Source organism: Homo sapiens, chromosome 14 (assembly GCF_000001405.40).
Source record: "Homo sapiens chromosome 14, GRCh38.p14 Primary Assembly".
In the NCBI taxonomy this organism is placed as follows: Eukaryota; Metazoa; Chordata; class Mammalia; order Primates; family Hominidae; genus Homo; species Homo sapiens.
The window spans coordinates 96,362,435-96,389,586 of NC_000014.9; the positions used below are offsets into that span (position 1 = coordinate 96,362,435).

Below are 27,152 nucleotides of genomic sequence, written 5' to 3' on the forward strand. Positions count from 1 at the left end.
TTCCAGAATGTCATCCCACAAGGCAGGGTTTGTTTGCCACAAAACCCTGCGGCCCCTCACATCCCGAGGGACAGTTCTGGTCACCTCCTCCCACGGACCTATTGAGCCTGCTTCACAGACCCCCGAAGCACTGACTCAATTATTCCCACAGTGTAGATTCCATTACATCTGTTAAAGTTTCCGGAACACGTGATTTAGGAGAGCAAACTTGTTAGAAACAGATTAAACAACACTCTAACACATTTCTCTGAGCCGTGTCACACTCGGGTCCAAACAATTCCCAAGGAGGGACTGACTGTCACCAATCTTGGATGGCACTGGTTCAAAGCGCCCTAAAGAGGGGAGCGAGCCCCGCCCGGCTCGCCGCCGGCAGCTCTTACCCATTTGTCCAAGGGGACCTGGGCGAGGGACCCGGTGCCTTGGTACAGGTCCAGGCTGAGCTGCTCCAGGCTCAGCTTCTCCTGCAGAAAGTGGCCCAGGTACCTCTGCAGGAGGTACCGGCAGGCCCTCTTCTTGATGGACTCCGAAAACGGCCAAGGCATAGTGACTGCTGGCAGCTGGGCTGACTGCGGCTGCGGGTTGCGACGGCTCCGGCCTCGGGGTAGCGACTCCGGCTCCAGGCCGCGGCGGGGCCTAAGCCTGGGGCGGCCCCTCCATCCCTATTTGGTGCCGGGAGTCCCTCAGGGAGACCCCATCGCCGGCGCCGCACCGCTCGCGCTGGGCCTGGCGGAGGCAAGACGCAGAGGGGTCCTCCTGGCCCCAGGCCAGGGGACTTCCGAGGAGGGTCCCAACCGGCTCGGAGAGAGTGCAAGAGAGCGCGAGAGGAGGCGGCAGGGGCTGAGGCAGCCACCGCCACTGCCGCCGCGCGACGAATTTGTTGTCATCCGCGAGGCGCGTTCCCGGCTGTAGGGACGCTCCTGGCGCGTTCACGAGACCCAGACTCCCGGCGCGCCGCCGGGCGCTGGCGGAAGTGACGCCACACTGGGGCCGCGGAAGGCGGGCAGAAGGGCGGGGGCTGGAGCAGTTCCGGCTCCGAGGGGGCGGGGCGGAAGAAGGCGGGGAGGGAGGGGGCGGCACCGCCGGTCGGCTCCAGTCGCCTCCGGAGGAAGGAAGAAGAGGACGCCGGGCGCGCAGGTGAGCGGCAGCCGGGGTGGCTGCGGGCGAGGGGCGGCCCCCGAGAAGGGCTAGGGGCTCGGGGCGCCGGCGGGCCGTCAGGCCTTCCGGATGGGGACGCGACGCCATGCAGCTGGCTGGGCCGAGAGGGGCGGCAGGCTGCAGGGGCCCCGCGCCCGTGTTAAGAGGGGTCTGGGGGCCGGTCTGGCCGGCCTGGCTCTCCCGGCTCCCCTCAGACCTCGGCGCCCCGGAAACGCACACTTGGGGCTCCGCCGTCTCCGCTGGGAGGACTGGAGCCCTTCTCGAGCATCCCCGCCCGCACCCGAGCATTGACCGGTGCCCATTGTCAGCAAGTTCTTCGGCCCCCGCCTCATTCAGGTATTGTTTCTGAGGCAGCTTCTTCGTTGCCGTTTGCCTGGCGGTTTGCAGAGCGCTTCTCGCATACGCTCGCTTAATCCTGGGTGTGTCATAGCAACGATCAGGAAACTTGGGTTTTCGAAGCATCTGTGGGCAAAACTGCATTCCTTGAGAAATGCTAAAGGCTCCTGACCCCGCCGGAACCTGGGTGAAGAACTTGGGCTGTTCTGGCAGTCTGCGCAATCGTATTTCTGCCTTTTGGGAGGTAACTCCTGCAGAGGCGGAGCCGGCTGTTAAGTTAAGTCAACCTCGAAAGGCCTGGGTGCGGGTGTTCTATGGCCCAGAAGCCAGATGTCCTTCGTTAGAATCCCGGCACTGACACCTATTAGCCGCCCAGCCACTTTGAGCGGCCACTGCCCTCCCCGAGCCCACGTTGCCTCCTTTGCCGAGTGTGAGCGGATTAAAATCTTATGTGCATGGATTTGTTGGGAAGATTAAATGATATGAGTAGGGCACGAACCTGAACAGAGTCCTGAAACATACAGCTGTTTAATCACAGTGAATTAAGACGACCAGTTTAAGGAGTGAAATGTTTACTGTCTCGGCAACTTTCATGAATGCCTTGGAAATACAGCCCAAAATATTGGTAGATGGAGAAACATCTGGTTCCCCTTTCCACAACCACCTTTTCGTTTTAGAACCAGGGTACTTTGTATGCAGTTGCTTGGATTGTTGATTTCCCTCATTCTTTGTAGACTCATCTCAAGTATTCTCAGTAACTTAGATTCCCTTGCTCTTCATTCAGAAATATTTGTTAAGGTCCATTAAATGAAAGTCACCACAGTTGATCATGTGAACAGTGTCAAGAATCAGGCCGAACCTTCAAGGAGTTTATGTTCTAAAACGGAAGCATGGTGGTACCTGCTTGTGGAGGCTGAGGCGGAAGGATCGCTTGAGCCCAGGACTTTGAGGCTGCATAATTGCATTGACGCTATCCATAGAGTGCCTGCAATTTCAAATATCAGAAAGGATCGTACGAGCTATGATCATGCCACTGCACTCCAGCCTGAACCACAGAGCAAGACCCTTTCTCTCAATAAAGTGGAAGTTTGTTCATTTATTCAGTAAATATTTATTGATTGCCTTCTGTGTGCCAAGCACTGTTCTAGGTACTGGGATTACAGCAGTGAACAGATAAATCTCTTCCTTCCTGGAACTTACATTTTATTGAAGGGAGGAGACATACAATAAATGAGTGAATAATATGCTTTGTGGTGATAAGGGCTGTTGGAAAAACGAAAGCAATGTAAAGGGAGTGGAGATGGGGAAGAGAGAAGGGACTTGCCATTTTTATATGAGATGGTAAGAGAAATTCTCTTGTTTAATAAGATTACATTTTAGCAGAAACTTGGAGAAAGCTGGGAAGTGAGGCACATGTATACCTGGAAGAGTTGTTTTCCATGCAAGGGGAACAGCAAGTGCAACGCCCTGTCACGGGAGAATGCTTGATGAATTTAGGGAACATCAAGAGTGAGTGAAGGAAAAAGTAGAAGCTGGGCAGTTTGGGGGTGGGGGGTGGGGCGGGCGGGGCGCAGAGGAAGCACATCATGTAGGGCCTCGTAGGCCATTGATAAGAACTTTGGAGCCGGGCACAGTGGCTCACTCCTGTAATCCCAGAACTTTTGGGAGGCCGAGGTGGGCGGATCACTTGAGGTCAGGAGTTCAAGACTAGCATGGCCAACATGGTGAAACCCTGTCTTTACCAAAAATATATAAAAAATCAGTCAGGTGTGATGGCGTGCACCTGTAATCCCAGCTACTTGGGAGGCTGAGGCAGGAGAATTGCTTGAACCCGAGAGGCGGAGGTTGCAGTGAGCCGAGATTGTGCCACTGCACTCCAGCCTGGGCAACAGAGTGAGACTCTATCTTAAAAAAATAAAAAGAACTTTGGCCTTTACTCTGGGTGAGGTGGATTTAGGAGAGGAGTGACACAGTATGGCCTAAGTTTCTATGGGATCATGCTAACTGCTGTTAAGAATAGTCTGGTGTGGAAGTGGGAGGGCCAGAGTGAAAACAGCAGAACCAGTTAGAAGGATATCACCGTAATGCAAGGAAAAGATGACAGTGGTTTGGACCAAAGCGGTAGCGGTGAAAATGATTAGTTAGAAGCAGTTGGATTCTGGATATATTTTGAAGATAAGACATGTTTGTAAATAATAATTCTAATATTTGCCATAAAAGGAATACAAACAAGGTGGTATGAAAAGGCAAAGGTGGGATCTTGCAAGAAATTAGAATAGGCTTTGGAAGGTTTGAAATAGACTTCTGACAAATAGATACAATTTGGACTTCTTTCAGCAGTTATTAAATAAGTGGTTTCCTTTTTCAATATAGAATTGCATTCGGGCTATCCATAGAGTGCCTGCAATTTCAAATATCAGAAAGGAAAATTAAAACGACGGTTTTGCAATAACAAATATGCTCTATTCAGAGTATTGTGTGTTGCCTTGTAAACTTTATGCTTTCTAGGAGAAATTCAGTATAAATGTTAAGGTTTAGGACCTGTCATTATGATATCTTTGGCTACAGTAGGGTACAAACTCATCTCAAATCACAGTGCCATTTTTGTGTTTTGTCAAAGACAAAGTACCTGTCACAAAATGTTAACACCTTGCATTAATTAAGGAAGATGAAAATAATTACCCTGGCCAGGTGTGGTGACGTGCCCCTGTAATCCCAGCACTTTGGAAGGCCAAGGCCGGAAGGATCACCTGAGACCAGGAGTTTGAAACCAGCCTTGGTGCCAGAGCAAGACCCTATTTCAAAAAATAATAATAAATTTTAAAAAAGAAAATAATTACCCAACCGAATATTGTCAGCTTATTAAGAATTATGTAAAAGTTTGAAGTGACAGGTGAGAGGCTGTATGCCAGAGGCTAAATGGGTCATGTCAAAATAATCCTCCTTCAGAGAAATCTGTTAACATGGGAAATGAAAGAAAAGCCAAGGAGATGTATTTGACCTTTTTTAATGACTTGCACCTGAGGTAACAGGACGACGCTGTCAGGGCTCCACACCTCACGGCTCTTGGAGGAATTGTACAACACAGCAGCAGCCAATCCCCCACATAATGTAAAGAGCACCTAACTTGGAGCCACATGGCTTGAGCTTCAGGGTCAGGCTTTCTTCTTGAAAGATAGTGTTAAATACTTTTAATATAATAGATTATATTTTTTCAGCTGTTTGCCCAGCACAGTTCTAAGCACTTTCCATGTATTCATTCATTTAGTTCTCTCAATATCACTTAAAGGTAGATGCTATTTTAACATCATTTTAAAGAGGAGGAATGTGTGACTGAGAAAGATTAAAACATCTTTTTCCAAGTCCCAGAGTAAATTAAGTGGCCAAGCTAAAATTCTAGCCCCAGTCAGTCTGCTTGAGAGCCTGTTAACCATCACATCTTCCTGGCCCCTTGTTCATATTGAGAGGATTTACCAGGTTGTAGTGTGTGATACAAATAAAGGTAATCATGATTAAGATATCGTATCCTGCCCTCAGCTGACTGTTAACAATGTCAACTGAAAGGTCAGACTTTCAAAGTGAAAATTTGCACTCCATATGTTCTTGAAATCTTTCTGGGGCTGTTCTTTTGTCAGACTAAGTATATATGACTGTCTTTGCCCATTTTTTTGTCATCAAGGATAAAGCTCTTTGATGCTCTGAACTCGTAATGAAACAAAATAGTCTAATAAATTAGGAAGTAAAGAATAAACGATTTAGTAATCAATGTCATAATAACCAGTTGGATGAATCCTCCAAAAACACAAACACCCGAACACCGCCCAAAAATTATGGAGAAAGAGCTGGTTCCTAAATAATTTATGTATGATGTTTTAAGGAATCATTTATGGAAACTTTACATCAGGTGATACAACCTACCAGAATAAATAATAGCAATTGTCAAGTATTCCAATTTTTGTCTCTTTGCTAGAAACAGAATATTGCTCAGGATCTGGTAGAGAACCAATTTGGAGTTTAAATGGAAAGCAGTGAGGTTTTCTATTTTATGTCTCTGTAGATATTGATTTATGTTTGTTAGAATGTACTTTAAATATAGTGCCAAGTAATACTTATTTCCTAGAGGATTATATAGAAATAAGAAACTGTAATAACTGGAATTTTTTTTTTTTTTTACATTCCATTTTTGAGTGTCTTTTCCTAGAGTCTCATTTACAGTTTCTGGTTTCGAAGGAAAGGTTTACAAGGTTGTATTGCTACTCTTTTTTTTTTTTTTTTGAGACAGAGTCTCACTTTGTCACTCAGACTGGAGTGCAGTGGCACGATAGCTCATTGTAGCCTCAACCTCCCAGGTTCAACCGATCCTCCTACCTCAGCCCCTAAGTAGCTGGGACTACAGGCTTGTGCCACTAATTTTTGTATTTTTTTGTAGAGACAGGGTTTCACCATGTTGCCCATGCTGGTCTCGAACTCCTGGACTCAAGCAATCCACCCACCTTGGCCTCCCAAAGTGCTGGGATTACAGGCATGAGCCACAGCACCCAGCCAGTGTTGCTGCTTATTTACAGTTTGTAAAAACTCAAATTAACCCTGTGTATTTCTTTCTTCTGAGTTCCCTCCTTAATCAACAAAAGCACTGCTGTGGTTTGGATATGGTTTGGCCCCACCAAGCCTCATGTTGAAATTTGATCCCTGGTGTTAGAGGTGAATCCTGGTGGGAGGTGTTTGGATCATGGGGGTGGATCCCTCATGAATGGCTTTCTCTCTGTATCTCTCTGTATATCTGTCTCCCTCCCTCTCCCCTACTCCCTCTTTCTCTCTCACTTCCCCTCCCTCCCTCCTTCCTTCCTTCACCATGTGATCTGCATATCCCAGCTCCCCTTCTGTCATGAGTGGAAACATCTAAGGCAGAAAATTGGTACTGAGAGTGGGGTGTTGATATAAAGAGACTTGAAAATGCGGAAGCAGCTTTAGAACTGGGTAATGGGCAGAGGTTGAAAGAGCTTGAAGGGCTCAGAAAACAGGAAGATGAAAGAATGTTTGGAACTTCTTAGAGATTGGTTAAATGGTTGTGACCAAAATGCTGATAGAAATATAGACAGTAAAGGCTATGCTGAGGAGAGCTCAGATGGAAATGAGGATCTTATTGGGAATTGGAGCAAACATCACCCTTGTTACACTGTAGCGAAGAACTTGGCTGCATTGCCTCCATACCCTAGGGCTTTGTGGAAGGCCCAACTTGAGTGATGACCTAGAGTATCTGGTAGAAGAAATGTCTAAGCAGCAAAGGGTTCAAGAAGTGGCGTGGCTGCTTTTAACAGCTTACAATTAAATATGGGAGGAAAGGAATGACCTAAAGTTGGAATTTAAAAGGAAAGCAGAGCATAAAAATATGGGAAAATATGCAGCCTGGCCTTGTGTTAAAGAAGGAAAGAGCATTTTCAGGAGAAGAATCCAGTTAGTTCAGATAAAAGGGAGCCAGGTGCTAATAGCCAAGACAATGGGGAAAAGGCCCTCAAGGTATTTCAGAAATCTCCTAGGCTGTCCCTCTCATCACAAGTCTAGAAGACAAGAATGGTTTCCACAGTCAAAGCCATGGGCGCAACTGTCCTGTGCCACCTTGGAATGCTGCTCCCTGCATCCTGGTTGCTCCAGCTCCAGTTCTGTTTCAAAGGGCTCCAGGTACTCAGCTCAGGCTGTAAGCTGTATGTCTTTGCAGCTTCTATGTGTTGTTAGGACTTTGGGGCACAGAATGCAAAAGTGGCAGAGGCTTGGCAGCTTCCACCTAGATTTTAGATTTTAGATTTTAGATTTTAGAGGATGTATCAGAAGGCCTAGGTGTCACAGAAAGACTCTGCTAGGACATTGCCAAGCAGAAATGTGGTGTTGGAGCCCCGATGGAGAGTCTCCACTGGGGTATTGCCTAGTAGAACAGGGATGCCATGGGGACCACAGAATTGCACAGCCACTGGCAGTGTGCACCCTCATCCTGGAAAAGCCTCAGGCATTTGACTCCAACTCATGAGAGCAGCCACATGAGCTGTACCCAGCAGAGTCATAGGGATGAGACTGCCCAAAGCCTTGGGAGCCCACCCCTCATACTGCTGTGCCAGGATGCAGGACATGCTAAAAGGAGATTTTGGAACTTGAAGGTTTAATGTCTGCCCTGATGGGCTTTAGATTCTCATGGAGTATCTTACCCTTTTCTCTTGGCCAATTTCTCCCTTTGGAAAACAGCATTTATCCAATGACTTTTCCGTCATTGTGTATCTTGGAAGTAAATAACTTGGTTTTTTACTTCACAAGCTTATAGCTGCAAGGAACTTGCCTTGAGTCTCATAAGAATTTGGACTTTTGAGTTGGTGCTAGAACAAGTTAAGACTTGGGGACTATTGGGATAGAATGGTTGTATTTTGAATGTGAGAAGGACACTAGATTTGAGAAGCGAGGAGTGGAAGGCTATGGTTTGGATATGGTTCGTTTGGCCCCATCAAGTCTCTTGTCAAAATATGATCCCCACTATTGGAGATGGGACGTGGTGAGAGCTGTTTGGGTCAGGGAGTTGGGGCGGGGTAGGGTTGGGGGGCCAGTTTGAGGTGGGAGAGGTGTGGATCTCTCATGAATGGCCCGGTGTCTTTCTCCCAGGAATGAGTGAGTTTTCACTCTCAGTTTCTGACAGAACTGGTTGTTGAAAAGAGCCTGGATCTCCTGCTTTCTATCTACCTACCTACCTATCTGTCTATCTCCCCCACCTCCACCCTTTCTGACTGTGTGATCTTCACACACTGGCTCCCCTTCCACCACGAGCGGAAGCAGCTGGAGGCCATTGCAAATGCCGGCACTGTGCTTTGTGTACAGCCTGTGGAACGATGAGCCAAATAAACCTCTTTTCTTTAGAAATTACCCAGCCTCACATATTTCTTTACAGCAATACATAGAGACTAAGATAAGCACAATTCTGTTGTCTAGATTTATAATTACAAGAATATAAATATGTCTGTGTTATTGCTGAAAATGGGGTGCAGAATAATTTTATAAACCAGAGTATAAATGGGAAAATAGCCATTCTTACTTGAATTACAAATACTTTATATTTGTGATACTACACATGATTCTGAATTAAAATGTTTTATTTCAAAACAAATACATCTGTAAGCTATTGAAAACAGATTAAATGTTATGTGTTACAGAAAACAAAGGTTAAATTGAGTTTTAGCTTTGCCTAAATTCTAAATCTTGCTGATAATAATTAATAAACTTTATTCATCTTTACTTTCAAAACAGTTGTTGGAAATGCAGATAAATTCAGAACTCTTGTTTTATTTGTAACTGATGCTACCAGTTATTTTAAGTGTCTGAATAATAACCTGACTTCTCTAAGAAAAAGATTTCTGCTTCCTACACCCTATACTTTCCAAAAGACTGCAATTTTTAAATTGTTTTTTCTTATTGAAAACATAATCATTTTCTTTTCACCATAGGAAAATTAGAATATTAAAAAATTAAAGCTATCAACAATCTTTTTTTTTTTTTTTTTTTTGAGACAGAGTCTCACTCTGTCACCCAGGCTGGAGTACACTGGTGCAATCTCAGCTCACTGCAGCCTCTGCCTCTCGGGTTCAAGAGATTCTCCCGCCTCAGCCTCCCCAGTAGCTGGGATTATAGGCACGTGCCACCACACCTGGCTAATTTTTTTCTATTTTTAGTAGAGATGGGGTTTCGCCATGTTGGCCAGACTGGTCACAAACTCCTGACCTTGAGTGATCCACCTGCCTCAGCCTCCCAAAGTGTTGGGATTACAGGTGTGGGCCACCACACCCAGCCAAAACTATCAACAATTAATTTTTAACAAAGAGCAATAGCATAACTGAAGTGGAAAGAGTTGCAAAAACTTAGAGAAGGCCTAACTCAGCCCTAACCTTGTATCCTTTTACCAGCTCCTGCCTCTGCTTGTTAACTTTATACTGCCAGACACGGTGCCTGAAATTTTCATCTTGTTGAATTAAGTCCTTGGGTTAGGGCTATACTTCTAAAACGTATTTTTCATGCCAATATTCCTCACTCGAATGTACCTTTTAGAGGCAAAGGAAACCCTAGACGCGTAGGGGTATAATCTAAAGAGGATGTGGCTTGAGACATCCAAACATTTGTGTACTTTTTCATTAAAATTCTAGGCAGTTCTGTAATATTTCCTGATATTGATATAGTAACAGTGATATGTATTTTCCAAGAATATCTGCCATGTTTGTCCTGAGTCTTTGTATACTCCTTGTCACAGAGCCGAGTATCACACCTGAGAAGCAGAGAGTTAGAATTTTCTCTGTTTTATTCATTCAGGAAATATTCAATGAAGTCCTGCTTTATGCCAGACACTGTGCTGGTGATGTGTATATCACAGGCTCCCATCTTCATGGGTCTGTAGTAGTACAGACACAAAAATTATTTGCCATGAGGCTTAAGTACAGCAGTACCAAAGCAGAGATGCTGTTCAGGAAGATACAGTGATTGGCCATCTTGAGAGCAGATACACAATCCTGAAATAGGTTTGTCTGAGCTGAATTTTAGAGGACTAAAAGTCTTCAAAGTCGTGTTAAAATAAAATTTTTTAAGTTAAAAACATGGATCTCATAAAACATATGGTGAGCATGTGTCAAAATGCATTTAATTCATTAATGAAACAAACAACAAGATGGTAAAAGTTGGTTCAGAGTAGTATAGGTGATCCCTGAGAAGCATCATACAAATATGGTGAGCCTGTTGCCCTATTGTATTGCCTAGAGCCAGGCATGGCACTGGAAAGAAAAATCCAGGTAAAGCCTGATGGTCTCCCTGAATTGAGGACATAGAGCTGGAAACCCAAGAAGGCCAAGGCAGCTAGGACAGAGTACTAGAAAGTAAATAGCTTCACAGAAAGCAAGGACTGTGAGGATATAGGAAGGGTCTCCCTCCAGCCTGTAGCTGAATACTAATTCATGAGTTCACTGCCCTAGGCTGGGGAAAGAACTACCAAAAAGAATGAGAGGAGGGGCCAGGTGCTGTGGCTCACGCCTGTAATCCCAACACTTGGGAGGCTGAGGTGGGTGGATCACTTGAGGTCAAGAGTTTGAGACCAGCCTAACCAACATGATGAAACCCCGTCTATACTAAAAATACAAAGATTAGCCAGGCACGGTGGTGGCCACTTGTAATCCCAGCTACTCAGGAGGCTGAGGCAGGAGAATGGCATGAACCCAGAAGGCCCGGATTGCAGTGAACTGAGATAGCACCACTATACTCCAGCCTGGGTGACAGAGCGAGACTCTGTCTCAAAAAAAAAAAAAAAAAAAAAAAGAAAGGAGGATACTCAGTTTGGGACTTTCTGAAGCAGAGGTGATATGAAAATTATACATCTCCTCATTTCTTTGGAGACTAAGTTGCTGGATCTTCATCTTTATTGGATAATATCAAATCATTTTCCAAAGTGTTGTGCCAGTTTACACTCCCACTCAGTGTCTAAATGTTCTGTGTTCTGCATCCTCAATAATACTTGATTTAGAAAATTTTTTATGCATAGACTCAAAAAGGAAAATGTCTTACTGATCTGCAAGATGTTAAATGTTACCTCATTTTAATTATTTCTATAATTTCTAACTGTGAGTGTATTTTCATGTGTTTAATAATCATTTCTGTTCTTCCATTAAAAAAAAAAAAGAATTACAGGAAACAGTTTTCTGAGCTAAAGCAGGACTAGGGATAATTCCCATTCTTATCACACAGAATAGAAACCCTCGTAATTCATAGGGCATTGGGTAGAGTACTCAGAAAGGTTTTGCCTCTGTAATGGGACAGAATTAACTAGAGATTAAACGCAGATCTTGTCTAAAAGCAAGACCCAGAAAGATCAAGCTGTTTCCAGATAACTACCTCCCAGGACAATGCTCAACAATATTTATTACTTTTTAAATTTTTTCTCACCATGCGTCTAACCAAATGAATTCAATAATATTTAAAATAATATAAAAACATTCAGCACCACATTCACAATGTCTGGCATCCAGTCAGAAAAGACCAGGCATGCAGAGCAGCAGAATATAACCTACAATTGAGAAGAAAAATCTGTCCGTTGAGAGTAACCCAGAAATAATACTTGAAATTAGTAGGCAGGACATTATAACACTTATTATGGCTGTATTTTATATGTTCAAAAAGCTAGAAAAAAGATTGAGCAAATTAAGCAAAGACATGGAAAATATGTTTAAAAGATTAAAAGACACAAATAGAATAGATACTGAAGAAAAGACTAACAAACTTGAAGACATATCAATAAACAATTCAAAATGAAACAGTGAAAAAAATAAATACAGCAATGAGGAACAGGACACCTTCACTTGGACTAATATACATAAAATTAGAGTCCCCAAAGAGGATAGGGACACATAAATGTTTGAAGAAATAATGGCCAGAAATTTTCCAAATTTGTTGAAAACTCTAAACCTACAGATTCCAGAATCTCAATGAAACCTAAGGAAAAGAAGCATGAAAAAACTACACCAAGAGGAACAAAGATAACAATCACATCAAATGTTTCATGGGAAACAAGACAAGCAAGGTGTGATAGTCGAGAAACATCTTTTTAATTTTTTTATTTTAGAGACACAGGCTCTTACTATTTTGCCCAGGCTGGTCATGAACTGAGCTCAAGCAGTTCTTCCACCTTAGACTCCCAAATAGCCGGGACTGCAGGTGTATGCTACTGCATCCAAGAAACATATTTAAAGACTTGAAAGAAAAAAAAACTGCCAACCTAGGATTCTCTACCCAGCAAAAACATCTTTCACAAATGAAGATGAAAAGGAGACTAGTTCAGACATAGGAAAGTTGAAAGGATTCATCAACAGCAGACCTACACTACAGGAAATGTTGAAAGAAGTTATTCAGGCAGAAGGAAAATGATACAGATAATACATGTAGATATAGATCAGTACAAATGAAGGAGCACAAAAAATGGTAATTATATATTACATATAAAAAGACTTATCTAATCTCTCTGAAAAATAATTGACTCTTTAAAGCAAGAATAATAACATTATGATGAAGTTTATAATTTATGTAGAAGTAAAATATGTGACAAAAATAGCAAATGCTATATAGTAGTGTTTTGTAAAGTTCATATACATGAAGTAGTATAGTATTAATTGGAGGTACATTGTGATAAAGATGTATACTATAAGCTTTAAAGCAACCACCAAAAACACAACAAAAAATATCGTTAATAAGAACCAAAAGATATAAAATAGAATCCTAAAAAGTGGTTAATTCAAAAGCAAGGAGGAAAATAAGGAAAAGGGAGTAAAGTACAGATGGGACTAAAAGCAAAGAAATAGCAAGACAGCAAATTCACACTCAACTATATCAATAATTACAGTAATCAAATGTAAGTGGTCTGAACACCCTTAGTCCATTTTCAGTTGCTTATAACAGAATACCTGAAACTCGAAAATTTATAAAGAAAAGAAATTTATTTCTTTTTCTCTCTTTTTTTTTTTTTTTGAGACAGCGTCTCACTCTGTTGCCCCGGCTAGAGTACAGTGGCGCAATCTCGGCTCACTGCAACCTCCGCCTCCCAGGTTCAAGCGATTCTCCTGCCTCAGCCTCCCGAGTAGCTGGGACTACAGGCATGCACCACCACGCCTGGCTAATTTTTGTATTTATAGTAGAGATGGGGTTTCACCATATTGGCCAGGCTGGTCTCGAACTCCTGACCTCGTGATCCACCCACCTCATTCTCCCAAAGTGCTGGGATAACAGGCGTGAGCCACCACGCCCGGCTTGAAATTTATTTCTTATAGTAATGGAGGCTGAGAAGTCCAAGGTAGAGGGGTCACATTTGGAGAGGGCCTTCTTGGCGGTGGGGACTCTGCAGAGTCCTGAGGTGGCACAGGGTATCACATGGTGAGGGGGCTGAATGTGCTGGCTCACATCTTTCCCCCTCTTCTTACAGAGCCACCAGTTCCACTTGCATGATAACCCATTAAACTATTAATCCATAAATGGATTAATCCACTCTTTGGGTAGAGCACTCATGACCCAGTCACCTCTTAAGGCTTCACTTTTTGGTGCTGCCACGTTGCATTGGAAATTGAATTTCAACATGAGTTTTGGAGGGGACAAGTATTCATACTAATAGCACACCCCAATTAAAAGAGGTTGCCAGATGGATGAAAAAGCAGGACCACACTACATACTGCCAGTAAGAAACCCATATTAAATAAAAAGATATTTGTATTTCCATTCCGAAGACCTTAAAACAGCCTATTATATCAAAATCAAATTCCTCTCTCTAGGTGTCAGCATGCTGTCAGATTGGGCCATCCCTGCATATCCTTGTATTTTAGCCCGACTAGTTCCTGCCACACCCTGTGCTGACCTTTGCTTATGCTTTGTTCCCTACACAGAATTTTTCACAACTCTCAAGACCTTTTTGCTTATTTATAACTCTTTATTCATGCTCATTCCAAACCAATTTTGACTGACCTGTACCCTTAGTCAAGCCCCATCATAACTAACCATTACGTCATAGATTATAGAATGTCAAAGCTCTTAGAACAGTAAAGAATTTTCTGCCTATTTACCTTATTTTGTAGATGAGACCTCCGTAAGACCAATGAGATTATGTGCCCAACTCAGGTTCATACAAGTTTAGTGATAAGAGTTTGTAGTAGGACGAAGACATATCATTGTTTTCTGTAATTATCTGCCACTCACAATTAAGTACATTTGGGGAGAATAATTATGATGTGTGTGTATGGCATTAATATTTGTGCAAATATTTCATGTGCCTGTTTTCTTTCCCAAAGTAGACTGCAAGCTACCAGTAGATATCTTTTATTAGTATTCTAGTGCTTAAAAAAAAGTCGGCTATGTAGGTACCGAGTGGATTATGATATTTGATTAATAAACTTAGAATCCAAGTAGACAAGATTATAAAACATAGGATAATGATTCATTAGTTTTTACTATTTGAAACAATGATGATTGATTCCTTTACATACAGTAATTAAGATTCAATTATATCTCAAGTTCCAAATTTTGCTACTCATATATAAAGTTTGATTCAGTGCCTTTACATCTGCTGAGATTTTTCAACCTTAGTATAAACTCTGCTTATTATATTATCTGCAAGTTTTCACAGAGGTCTAGACCTGTGCCATCTGATACAGTGGCCACTAGCTATTTAAATTTAAATGAACCAAAATTAAATAAATTTTTAATTCAATTTCTCCATCACAGTAGCCAAACTTCAGATGGCTATTAGCTGCTGTATTGGAGGGCAACAATAAAGAACATTTCCGTCATCACAGAAAGTTCCATTCATTTAGAATTTCTTATATGATGATAAATTGTTTTGTGTACAAAAAGGGAAAGCAAAGATTTTTACAGGATTCACATTGATGAGTCAACCATTCTGGTAACCTGATGGCAGTTCTAAAGTGTTGATAGTAATTCTAGTGGTTGTTCCTTCGCTGAAATGGGCGTGTATTTTCTCATCCTCAATGGTACAGGCTTCTAGTCAGGTACACAGATAATCCATTGAGCAGAAAATATATCTATATTCCATCTTTACCTTCTGTTTAAATGTATATTTATATGTCTTAAATATTTTAATTGTGGTAGAATATTTATATAAGTGCTTATAATAAGGTGTCTGCTCAAAATATTTTTACCTTCTGGGGTACATAATCCAAAGTGTGGAAGCTGCTTCTCAAGTGTCGGTCAACATAGCAACCTAGCTGCTCACTGCTCTGCCTCTGTAACTCCTGTCATCACCAGCTAACTGACTTCATGGTTTTTGGCTCTTTTCAAACTCCTTGAGAGAGCATCTGATTAGCTAGACCACCATCCGGAAGTAGTTGGACAAAGCTCTTGACTTGGGACATAAATAAACCCCTTGCCAACCTTGAGATGGTGCCTTTAATTGGAATACCCATCCCCAGTACATGTTGCTATGATGATGCTGGAATTAAAATACAAAGCATGAAACCTATGATTCAGAAACCTTTCCAGAGAAGGCAATGGGCTTGGCAAGTACTCTAGGCTTCCTTTTAAGAGAAGCATGTAAACTGCTTAGCACCTTATGTTGCCCATCAAATGTGTTCACTGAAAATAAATTATGGCCAAGCGCAGTGGCTCACACCTGTAATCCCAGCATTGTGGGAGACCAAGGCAGGAGGATTGCTGGATCCCAGGAGTTCAAGACTAGCCTGGGTAAACATAGGAAGACCCTGTCTCTCCAAAAAATAGAATCACCCGGACCTGATGGCACCCACCTGCAGTCCCAACTACTTGGGAGGTTGAGGTGGGAGGATCATTTGAGCCTGAGATTGTGCCACTGCACTATGGCCTAGGTGACAGCAAGATCCTGCCTCATAAATAAATAACTCTCCAAAAAAAAAGGAAGAGCAGAAAAAGAAGTCATTTGAATGTTTTTATTATGTTAAAGATTGAGGAAGGTACCATAAGCTAAGGAATTCAGATGGCCTCTAGAAGTGAGAAAAGGTAAGGAAACAGATTCCTTCCTGAAGCCTCTAGAAGGAATACAGACCTGCTGACATCTTGCTTTTAGACTTCTCATCTCCAGAACTGTAAGAGAATAAGTGTGTGCTATTTGAAGCCACTAATTTGGTAATTTATTATAGTAGCAATAGGACACTAATTGATATCCAAAGATTTTGGATATTTATCTATAAAGCTTTTATTAAGCACTTTCTACATGGCAGGCACAAAAATATTCATCATGATCACCCGAGCTCCATTTTCTAAACCTTTTTACCTTCATAGGGCTGTTATAGAGCTAAATCAATCACTGCCTTTCATTATGGGTAGACTCCTAAATCCAATAGAATGCTTTCTGTTGCCCGTAAGATAATAGGAATTTGTTGGCTCCGATAACTGAAAAGTGCAAATCCTGGGAAACCAGCATGGGCTCTGGCCACATTTCTCTGTGAATCTCTTGGCTCTGTTTTTTTCTGTTGTCAGCATCATGCTTGGGCTAGTGGCCCCATCTCAACATGGCTACTTGGAACAGCTTGAGCTGTGTGCTGTGACTGAACTAATCTGATTAAAGTGACCAAGAAGTCCGGGCGCAGTGGTTCATGCCTGTAATCCCAGCACTTTGGGAGGCTGAGGCGGGTGGATTGCTTGAGGTCGGGAGTTCAAGACAAGCCTGGCCAACATGGTGAAACCTTGTCTTGACTAAAAATACAAAAATTAGCCGGGTCTGTAATCCCAGCTACTCGGGAGGCTGAGGCGGGAGAATCACTTGAAGCCGGGAGGCAGAGGTTGCAGTGAGCCGAGATCATGTCACTGCACTCCAGCCTGGGCAACAGAGCGAGACTCTGTCTCAAAAAAGTAAAGTGACCAGGAAGAATTTCATGTATTAATTAGTTTGAAGAGTCTGTATCTGGGGATTGGAGTCAATCTCAGCCAAATTGCTTGGTTACTTTACTTAGTACGGGAAGGGAGCATTATGGTTGCCCTTGGAAAATATGGGTGGTCATAGGCAGGGAAAAGGATATTGGTAAATAATCAAGAACCTGCTTCAACCAACAAAAAACAAGTTGTAATCATACCTTAAAATAATAGCTAAAAATGTTATTTATGTAATGCTCCATTACTTTAATTTATATGTATCATCAAAAGTTCTAAATTGTATGTTATTCAAAGACATTTCAGGGAAAGTGTCTTAAAAGTTCAGTCTTAGGAAAGGTGTCTTCCTCTTTTTTGCAGCTCGGTGCTGATTATCACAACTGTTTGGTGACCTACTTCACTGACCTGTGAGGATTCCTTCCCTTCAGGTACTGGATTCTTGATCTTTCTGCATCATCAAGGTCCTAATTGCAATGAATTACACTCTTGCTTAAAAAAAAGCTTTATAAATGTAAAACTTTCTCATATAAACATCTTTTTATGTAATGATCATTATTTCTGACATCTCCAATTGAAGTACTTGATAACTTAAGCAAAATTAAGATGTTTGATATTCATGATGTCAAGAGATTTATAGTAGTCATTTCTAAATCTTCAAAACTATGTAAAAAAGAAAGGGCTCATTTTGTATGTATAAGACCAAATATAATCTTGAGCAGTATACTGATTATTTTTGGAATAAGGTAAAATTTGGAAAGCCAAATTTTTTTTCCTATATAATAAGTCAATTTGAGCTTTCAGTTACCCAACAGATTGCTCCAGCAATAATTGGTAATTTTATAATTAACTTCTGTTGTTTGTAGCGAGTGACTAATTCTGTAAAGTGCTGTGAGAGACGAGATAAAGAGTCTTTAAAACATTATTAATTGAAATAGGATTGGAGGAATACATTATACATTTGCTATGTAAGTTTTTGAAATAGCTTTACATATGTTATTATAAATTGCATTCAGCAAGTAGTTCTGACTTTTGTAATGTGCAAATGACATTCAGCTGTAGGAACTCCAGCTTCTTAAGATTTTTGCTGATAATTTAGAGCAGTGGCTGCACAGCAAAATCACTCAGGAGCTCTGAAAAAAATAACTCGTCTTCCAGAGATTTTGATTTTGTTTTTCTGCAGTGAGGAAAATGTATCTGTAATTTTATAAGCTCTTACAGGTAATTCTAATGACTAGCTTAAAGGATTTTGAATGTCACTATCTTGAAGGATTTTGAATATTACACAAATAGGGCATAACTTGGAAATAGCAATGGACTGTGCAGTGTACCAGATCGGTGTCCATATTGTCAGAAAAAAATTGAGACTCCTTCTAAAAATGCATTTAAGAGCCAGGTGTGGTGGCTTGAGCCTGTAGTCTCAACTACTCAGGCGGCTGAGGTAGTAGGATGGCTTGAGCTCAGGAGTTCTAGGCTATAGTGCACAGTGATCACACCTGTGAATAACCACTGCACGCCAGCCTGGGCAACATGGTGAGACCTTGTCTCTTAAAATACAATGAGTTTCTTACCAGTCTAATCTAACTCCAGTGTGGTGAGGGGGTGGGACTAGACCTTGACCACAGTGCCCAAGTAGATAGGAAATGAATGTTGATTGAATATGTGAGTGAGTGAAGAGTTATGCTTCATTCACGACAGCAGATGCTTAATCCATATCAGAGAAGTGAAACTTTACTTTTAAAACCTGCCAAGCAAAAAGAAAGCACAATAGCTCACCATAACTTGTTCTGTAAAGCCTTTTGTACATTCCAAAGCACTTTCACATTAACTTTTCTCATTCATACATTTCAAATTTTAACAATACATATAGCCAGGAAGATCTTTTTTAACCCCAGTTACAGAAGAAAAGCTAAAACCACATAGCAGCCTGGCAGTAATATTTGATCAAGTTAGCGTGAGAAATTAGAAATAATATTTTTCAAAATATAACATTTGGGTCAGTTCAAATTAATGGTGAAAAGATGAGTTATTCAGTAAATGGTATTGGTACAGTTGGCTATCCATTTGGAAAATAAAGTTATGCAAAATAAATTCCAGATGGATGAGTTAAATTCAGATACAACGAGAATTTAGGGGATTTTTAAAATGTAATCATGGTATGGGGAAGGCCTAGAGCAGAACCCCAATCCAGAAGTCATAAAAGGAGCTACTGAGACTTACCTACTGTGGTAGGTAAAGACTTGCACTCTGATTTCATGCAATTTAGATTTATTTCCATTTCTGCTTATTGCAACTGTATGATCTTAGAACTAAAACTATCCTTTAAACATCCAAACAGATGTTTACTCAAGGAAATACATATTACAACAATGAGCTATCATTCTTTGCCTCTTAAATTGGCAAAAATTTAAAAGAATTGGAAAGAGGTGAAAAAGAGTACAGTCCCTCATATTCTATTGGTAAAGTATAAGTCATACTCTCTTTTTTTGTTTTTTTGAAGGGTAAATTGACAGTATCTATTAAAAGTTAAAATAAGTATGTCCTTTGACTCAGCAATTTCAGTCCTAAATATCTGTCCTAGAGAAATAATTATACATTTAAAAATATGTACTAGGATTGTTACTGAGGCATTATTCAAAATAGCTAAAAAACACAATATTCTAAATGCTTATCAATATGGAAATTGACCTGTTGGGGGTAAGTGGAGAAGGGAGATTCTTTTTTTTGAAGATCTATGGGTGTCGGTGATTTTGCTGTGAAAAACCACTAGAAATGTTTTTAGATAGTATTTTTCCTAACAATTGTTAGCTAGTGTTTTGTACTAAGGAGCAATTGTAAGGCATAGCTAATTTTAATCAAATGTAGTAGTTTGAATGTCTTTCTATAAACAAATTTTATAACTGCTTTTTTTTTTTTTTACAGAATGGAAACAGACTGTAATCCCATGGAGCTAAGCAGTATGTCAGGATTTGAAGAAGGTTCAGAGCTGAACGGTTTTGAAGGAACTGACATGAAAGACATGAGGCTCGAAGCTGAAGCAGTTGTAAATGATGTTCTCTTTGCTGTTAACAACATGTTTGTCTCGAAAAGCCTGCGGTGTGCGGATGATGTGGCCTATATCAATGTGGAAACAAAGGAAAGAAACAGATATTGCCTAGAACTCACTGAAGCAGGGCTCAAGGTAACTCACTTTTCCTTTTAGAAAAAAAAATTATTTATGTCTTTACCACTTTATCAAAAAGAGGGGTAGTGGGGAGGGGAAGAGTGTTAAAAGAGAACTGGATATTCAGTAGCTTCCAAATTTTTTTAAGAAAAACTTTTAACCTAGAAATTTTTATTAATTTTAAAGGCTTTTGATCGATATGGGGAAACAGAATTTTTTTGAAAAACATTTGATTTGCAGGGCGTGACTTTGTTTTAATCATGACCCCCAAAACTAATTTATTTCTCATCTATAGCTAAATGTGTTCACCAGAATTATACATACATTCTTTGCATTGAATGGGTTTTGCAGTCACTGTGTTGAAAAGATTTTCAACACCTCTTGAAAATGTCGCTTCTGTTAAAATAACATACTTGACAACACTGTTTTCCAACTCTGAGATCAGAAATAAATCAGAGCAGAACATTCCACCCCCAGATTTCCAAGAGTGTCCCATTAACCCTTTATTATGAGTATCTCTTTATTATGAGAGCTTTTCTAGGCGGATTAACCTTTCCATTCTTTAAACCAAAATCATGAGTTTAGAATAGTAGAAAACATCACCTGAGAGCAACTTTTAATTAAAAAAGAAAAAACTATAGGCCAGACCTGCGGGCTCTTACCTGTAATCCCAGCACTTAGGGAGGCCAAGCTGGTAGGATCATTTTAGAGCAGAAGTTCAAGACCAGCCTGGGCAGCATAGCAAGACCGTGTTTCTACAATATATTTTTTGTTAATTAACCCAACATGGCAGCACTTGCCTGTAATCCAGCTACCTGGGAGGCTTAGGAGGGGGCCTATGAGTTCGAGGTTGCAGTGAGCTAGGATTGGGCCACTATACTCCAGCCTGGGTACACAGACCCTGTTTAAAAAAAAAAAAAAACTATTATAAAATCTTTGACCTACTGAACAAAGGGATAGACATTAGAAAATCTAAAATCTAGTTTTAACCTTACTAATCAGTGAATCTTCAGTCTTAGAAAATGTCATACATTTCTGTGTTTCTATATTTATTCAAAGTAATTGTACATTATCATAAGGTGGTGAGCAAGGCCTGCCTAAGCAAGTAAGAATGTCACATGATATCAAGTACATAAACATCTCTTTAATTCGCTGGATTCACTTTGCTGAAGATGAGTCGTGTATACTGTATATTCCTTGATGGAGCAAATTGCAAGGCCAGCATCTGTACTACCCTCAGTTCCCTCACAGCTGCTGCAAAGATAGCTGCTTAGCTTTAAGCATAGTACCTGAATTAACTAATTTTTGTGCACTTCTTTTCACATCCTTAAATTTGTACTAAAAGCTCAGAGTATTTAGAGGTGAATCTTAAATCAGAAGTAGAGATAAATGACAGAATTAGTAAGATAATTCTGTCTTGTGTTGGTTAATTCTAAGTTGACTGTGGAGAGGTAGAAGGAGTTCTGATCAGAGAGTCAGCAGTCTTAAATGTGAATTTAAGTGATCTTGAGTGAGTCCGTCTACCCCTGAGAGAGTTTCTGCTTCTTAATCTATAACTTGGAGATTTAAAAAAAACTTAAAACGATTTGGGGAATGATTATATGACTGTATGATACAGAAAGATCTGAACCATATGTAAAACCTGACATGTAGTAGGTGCTCAAATATTTGTTTGTTTTTCAGTCTGATTCAGTTAACATTTATTGAGCAACTATCCTGTGTCAGCAATTGAAAATCAAACCATGCATAAGACATGATCCCTGTCCACCAGGAAGATCACAGTCTAGCAGAGATAAGAGGAAGAAGGCAAACTGAACTGTACTCCACTGTAGAGAGTGCAGTAATAGAGCATGGATCTGAAGAGGTGTGATTCATTTTCCTTAGGTGTCTGCCTCTGCTTTTCATTTAAAAAAAAAAAAACTCAGCTTCTATTTCTAACACAAACTTTCACCTCCTATGGCTTAAATAGATGTCATAAAAATTTAGGATTTATATAGGGAATGTACACACTTAAGTCAGCAAAAACTAAATTAATTTTGCCCTATATTGTGCTGGTGAACCATGATATACCTTATAATCTTGTCAAAAAGAAAAGTTGTAGCTGTGTTCACAGGAAAAAAAAAAAAAGAAAAACACATGGCCTGTCAGCCTTTTGCCTAAGATCAATTGGAGTATCTTTTCTTATCAGTTTAATATCTGTTATGTCCTCTATCTAAGGACAATATATTAAATGGATTTTTGGAGCAGGGAGATAGAATAGGCTCTTGCTCCATTAACTTCACACATCGACCTGGTATTGCAAATACCTCCAGAAATAGTGTACCCCTACCAAGAAAAAAAAAACACATTAACATGTTCTTTTATCTCACAGAATTGAGCATTTATTCCCTGTCAGGTAAGAAATATATTAGGTGAAAGTGGCCTTTCAGATTACTAATAATAAAGCTAAACAGTTATTAAAACTAATAAACTATTAAACCAATTATTAATAAACAATTATTAAAATTAACAACTAATTATTAAAACTAAATTATTAGGAATAATTTTTAGAATTGTTTATAAAAGAAGTGAAAAATAATGAAAAAAATATGAACTAATGATATATTACCTATTATAGTACTTAATATAGTGGACCCTCAATATATGTGGAATTAAATGGGGTAAATAATAGATGCATGTTTTAGAATATGAAAATGAAATACCATTTTTGTGTAGCTTTTCAAATTCTTTCTCTGCATTTCCTTGAGCTTCTAAGTAAAACCTTTTAAATGTTGAAAATTCTATAGGGAGCATTTTAGTGGTGTTTCTGTGTTATACATTATAAGTTGCTGAAGTATTAAAGGTTGTATTTAAAATGTGTATACTCTGACTTTGAGAAATAGTTTCACTCAGTTACCCATGTATCTGGTGGTCTAGTGGCTAGGAAAAGAAATAATTTATTTTTTTGAAAGGATGATTACTCACATAAACACTTGGATTTTGCTTTCTGTACCAACATGAAAACTAATGAATTCACTGTTGCATTTCTCTTGTAGGTGGTAGGCTATGCTTTTGACCAGGTAGATGATCATTTACAGACTCCCTACCATGAAACAGTCTACTCCTTGTTGGATACACTCAGCCCCGCCTACCGAGAAGCATTTGGAAACGCACTGCTTCAAAGACTGGAAGCTTTGAAAAGAGATGGACAGTCATGACTACACTTTTTCCTTTCAGAGGGGCTGGTGCTGGTACAGAATGTTGATATAAAGCTTAAAATTCTTGCATATGGTCATAGAAAATGCATCTTTGGTTTTGTGTTTTTATCACTTGCTTCCAACTTAGGCTTTTGGCTCAGAAGATTATTGAATAATGATTTGTCTTAGTTTCTGTTTCAGTAAGGGAATTCTGAGGCCGTTGCTATGATACCATCATTAAGACATTCACATGTCTTCATATAATATCTCTTCATTTCAAATCCTAATCACTATTTCATACTATTACAGGGCTTTGATGCTGCCAGCACTGTCTTTTACATAGGAAATTCTAGATTTGCACAGTAATAGAGGAATTAGAAGTACCTAACTATACACTTTGATTCAGCCTGCTAAATCAGGGGTTCAATACTAGCTTGGACAAACTTTGTAGTAATTAATTGCTACCAGCCTTATTGGAAACAAATTATCAACTAGTTTCCCCTGCACAAATTTTGAAATTCACTGCTTCACTTAATCTATTTATATTACTAATAATGGATTAATAAAGATGAATTAATTATATATTACTTAACTAGTATTAAATGAAAAACAGGGACTGAAATAGTTCTGTATTCCGTGTTTGCAACAGCCAGCCAACTAAGCAGAGGATAAACCGTTAGCAAATGAATGTAATAATTACTCATTTCCAAGATATCTAAGCACATAAGCAAATACAGGAACAGACTTCATTCTTTTTCTTAACAAAAAAGCATCTTCAGTGTGTGATTTAAAAGAAAGAAGATTCTGGTTTCCTAGAAAACAATATTTTGGCCTGTGTTGATTCTTATTCTGAATGTGTGTTTACATAATGTACAGTATATATTCAGAAAGTATTTTTGCTTCAACGTTTACTTTCTATGATGTAGTGCTTTGGTATTCCTACAGCACCCCACCTTCCCCAACAGATGTACAGTGTTCTGTCTCCATTCGAAATCTACAATGTAATATGAGTGCATTGTATGGGTTTGAAACCAAAGGATGAATGAAGCATTCAGAGACTTAATATTTGAAAAAGGAATAGTCAGTATTTTATATTTTATTACAGGTACTGATATTTATAAATTTAATAAACTGTACCATGCTGCTGCATGTTTTCAAGTACATGTTGAACAGTAAGGATTGGGGAGTTGTTTTTTAATGGTCACCTAAAGCAGCTGCTATAGAAATGTTGAACTAAAATTTTGCATCTGGTCATACCTTCATGCATTTATCATTTGCAGATATTTTTCCATCATTATTAAAAAACAGGAACTTTTAGGCTCTGAAGATCATGTGGACCAGAGCAAATTAAAGTTCAGTTTGTGTCACAATTCATTGCCAGACTTCATTGGAATGCTTTGTTTGATGATGTATGTTCATTCTCAGCTTTATTTTCAGATGCTTAACTGGGCAACGAAGTCTAACTTCAGGTTGAACTTTCTCATGTTTAATCTCAGGCTAAATGTAAATGATATTTGTAAAGTTTGAATAAAATTCTGTTTACTCATTTTGAGTTAGTATGAAAAAAAGTGATTGTATGTTTAAGAATTGAAATTGTTCATTTTGTGATAAATGATTAATTCCAAGAGCTTGTTTCCATTTTTTAATTCTGCATTGTTACATTTGGATTTGAAATGACTGAAGTGAGCTTTCTCTTGTTACTACTATGAAAGAGCAATGAGGAACAAGAGGAGAGGACATTAATAAAACTACACAGATATACATGAGAATCTAGATATTAAAACCTCCATTTTACCTGGTCTGTTTAAAGAACTTAACCAGCAGATAGGCCAGGTGTCGTGGCTCACACTTGCAATTCCAGTGGTTTGGGAGGCCCAGGCAGGAGGATCACTTGAGGCCAGGAGTGCAAGACAGCCTGCGCAACATAGATCCCATTTCTACAAAAAATTATAAAAGCATGGCCTGGTGACACATGCCTGCAGTCCTAGCTATTAGGAAAGCTGAAGCATGAAGATTGCTTGAGCCCAGGAATTGGAGACTGCAGTGAGCTACAATCGTGCTGCTGCGCTCCAGCCTGGATGACAGAACAAGACCCTGTCTCTTAAAAAAAAAAAAAAAAAATGAAAATTATAAAACTTAACCAGATAAATTAAGCCTTGATTTCACTTCTAAAGGAAAAAGAAAAAAAAAACTTTTATATAAATAACTTTTACAAATCAGTAGGAAGAAAAAATGCAAACAGTGGGCAAATAATATGGTCAACTCAGAAAAAAAAATAGATGTCAGTAACTACTTGAAAGAGGCCCAACCCAACCATTAACTCAAGAAAGAGAAATTTTAAGTTATTGGGTCATTTCACCTGCTACTTTTGTGATTCTTCTTATTTAAACTTAATACCAGTAAGGATTTAATGAGGAAGCACTCTTACATTCTATTGGAGGGTATATTGTTGAAATCTTTCTGGAAACATTGGTAATAAATCCTTTACAAGTTTATAACTTCTGAATTGGTAATATACTAGCAACCTAGCATAGGGAAATGATTCAGCAAAAAAACTAGTATATAAGGATGTTCATTTCCCCTAATGAAAAATTGGGAAGGCTCTAAAGAGTGGTAAAGTGATGCTACATCTTTTGATGGAAAAATATGCAACCACTAAAAATCATGAAAAAATGGCAATGAGAATTATGCTACACAAAAAAGGATATAAAACTATACATACTTTTTTGAAAAATAATTGTATATGTAACAAAAAAAGATTATAGGCTGTTAGTAGTCATCACTAGGTGATAAAATAGATAATTTTCATTTCCTTAATACTTTTTCACATTTTATACATTAGCTTGTATGTACTAATTAGAAGCAGGAAATGCAATAGATGTGGGGTTTAAGCTACCTAGAGGCTGTCTAGCAAAAGCACCAATCCTTGCTGAGTTGTATCTGCTCCCAGATCCTTGAAGAGGGCAGAATGATTATGAAGAGAAGAGTGCACACCTCATTTCCCATGATGACACTCTTCCCACCTTTCCTCCAGGTTCGGCTGCTACTAATGTACTTACAATCATTAGCTTCTTCTATTGCACACTGTGCTGTTCTCTCCCCGGTGTTCAAAAACAGAATGTGCTGTTTGAATGTTGAGGAACATAGTAAGAAAACACTGAGATTCTGATAGGTGCCACATTGACTTCAGAACTTTCTTTCCAATCCCTTTATTTTCTGGATGATACAGGTGAGATAGACAGATTGAGCGACTTGCTCAGCAACTGCTTGTGAGCAGTGTAGTTGGATCAGAACCTAGGTCTTCTGACTCCGCCAGCTGTCCCCATACAGTACGTGTTAATAAAAACCATCACATTAATTTTGTGTTTATACGAAAACTGATTTTAAAAGAGGGAAAGAATAACAAACATGTTAGTTGGTATACTAGAATTAGTAGAATCTCTGGCCTGGGTGTGGTGGCTCACACCTGTAATCCCAGCACTTTGGGAGGTTGAGGTGGGTGGGTCACCTGAGATCAGAAGTTTGAGACCAGCCTGGCCAACATGGTGAAACCATCTCTACTAAAAATGCAAAAATTAACTGGGTGTGGTGGCACACACCTGTAATCCCAACTCCTGGGGAGGCTGAGGCAGGAGAATTGCTTGAACCCGGGAGGCAGAGGTTGCAGTGAGCCAAGATTGCCCCCTGCACTCCAGCCTGGGCGACGAGTGAGACTCAATGTCAAAAAAAAAAAAAAATAGAATCCCCTTTTTTAACCTACCAATATATATAAAATTATCTAGAAGCTATCCCCCCTGTAACTGTGGCAAGCTCATTTCATGAAAGAAACAGGTAAGTTAAATATTTCATTGTACCATGACTGGTTGAATAACTTTCAAAGTGTTTACCTGCTTAACTGCATATCAACAAGGAATGCAGAGATA

General features: G+C 39.8%; 2 protein-coding genes and 1 pseudogene across 5 annotated transcripts in view, besides 4 other annotated features; 2 read left to right on the top strand and 1 right to left on the bottom strand.

Moving 5' to 3' along the window:
- Nucleotides 1–907, bottom strand: part of ATG2B (autophagy related 2B) — an 84,147-nt gene extending 83,240 nt beyond the window's left edge. The window contains exon 1 of the mRNA NM_018036.7: nt 381–907. Within this exon, the coding sequence (NP_060506.6) occupies nt 381–542 (162 nt within the window). The 5' untranslated portion in view covers nt 543–907. The remainder of the gene's footprint in view (nt 1–380) is intronic.
- Nucleotides 778–1,072: an enhancer, noted in NCBI's record as "tiled region #11883; HepG2 Activating non-DNase unmatched - State 1:Tss, and K562 Activating DNase matched - State 1:Tss". NCBI's record gives its function as "activates a minimal TATA promoter and a strong SV40 promoter by Sharpr-MPRA in HepG2 and K562 cells {active_cell/tissue: HepG2 | K562}" and the evidence as "EXISTENCE:reporter gene assay evidence [ECO:0000049][PMID:27701403]".
- Nucleotides 778–1,813: a biological region, named in NCBI's record as "Sharpr-MPRA regulatory region 11883".
- Nucleotides 993–1,813: an enhancer, noted in NCBI's record as "H3K27ac hESC enhancer chr14:96829764-96830584 (GRCh37/hg19 assembly coordinates)". NCBI's record gives its function as "activates a minimal SCP1, AML or CMV promoter by ChIP-STARR-seq in primed H9 embryonic stem cells {active_cell/tissue: H9 hESC(primed)}" and the evidence as "EXISTENCE:reporter gene assay evidence [ECO:0000049][PMID:30033119]".
- Nucleotides 1,015–1,364: a silencer, noted in NCBI's record as "silent region_6053". NCBI's record gives its function as "represses an Ori minimal core promoter by ATAC-STARR-seq in GM12878 lymphoblastoid cells {active_cell/tissue: GM12878}" and the evidence as "EXISTENCE:reporter gene assay evidence [ECO:0000049][PMID:35858748]".
- On the top strand, nt 1,092–24,856 carry GSKIP (GSK3B interacting protein). Of its 4 annotated transcripts, none has more exons than NM_016472.5 (4): nt 1,092–1,134; nt 17,254–17,354; nt 19,813–20,071; nt 23,089–24,854. In NM_016472.5, the coding sequence occupies exons 3-4, from the start codon at nt 19,814–19,816 to the stop codon at nt 23,248–23,250; spliced, it is 420 nt and encodes a 139-aa protein (NP_057556.2). In that variant the 5' UTR covers nt 1,092–1,134; nt 17,254–17,354; nt 19,813; the 3' UTR covers nt 23,251–24,854.
- RNU2-33P (RNA, U2 small nuclear 33, pseudogene) lies at nt 22,190–22,378 on the top strand (annotated as a pseudogene).

Coding starts and splice junctions, on each gene's coding strand:
- GSKIP (NM_016472.5), top strand. CDS start 19,814: ATGGAAACAGACTGTAATCCCATGGAGCTAAGCAGTATGTCAGGATTT. Junction 20,072..23,088: donor TCACTGAAGCAGGGCTCAAG/GTAACTCACTTT, acceptor TTTCTCTTGTAG/GTGGTAGGCTATGCTTTTGA.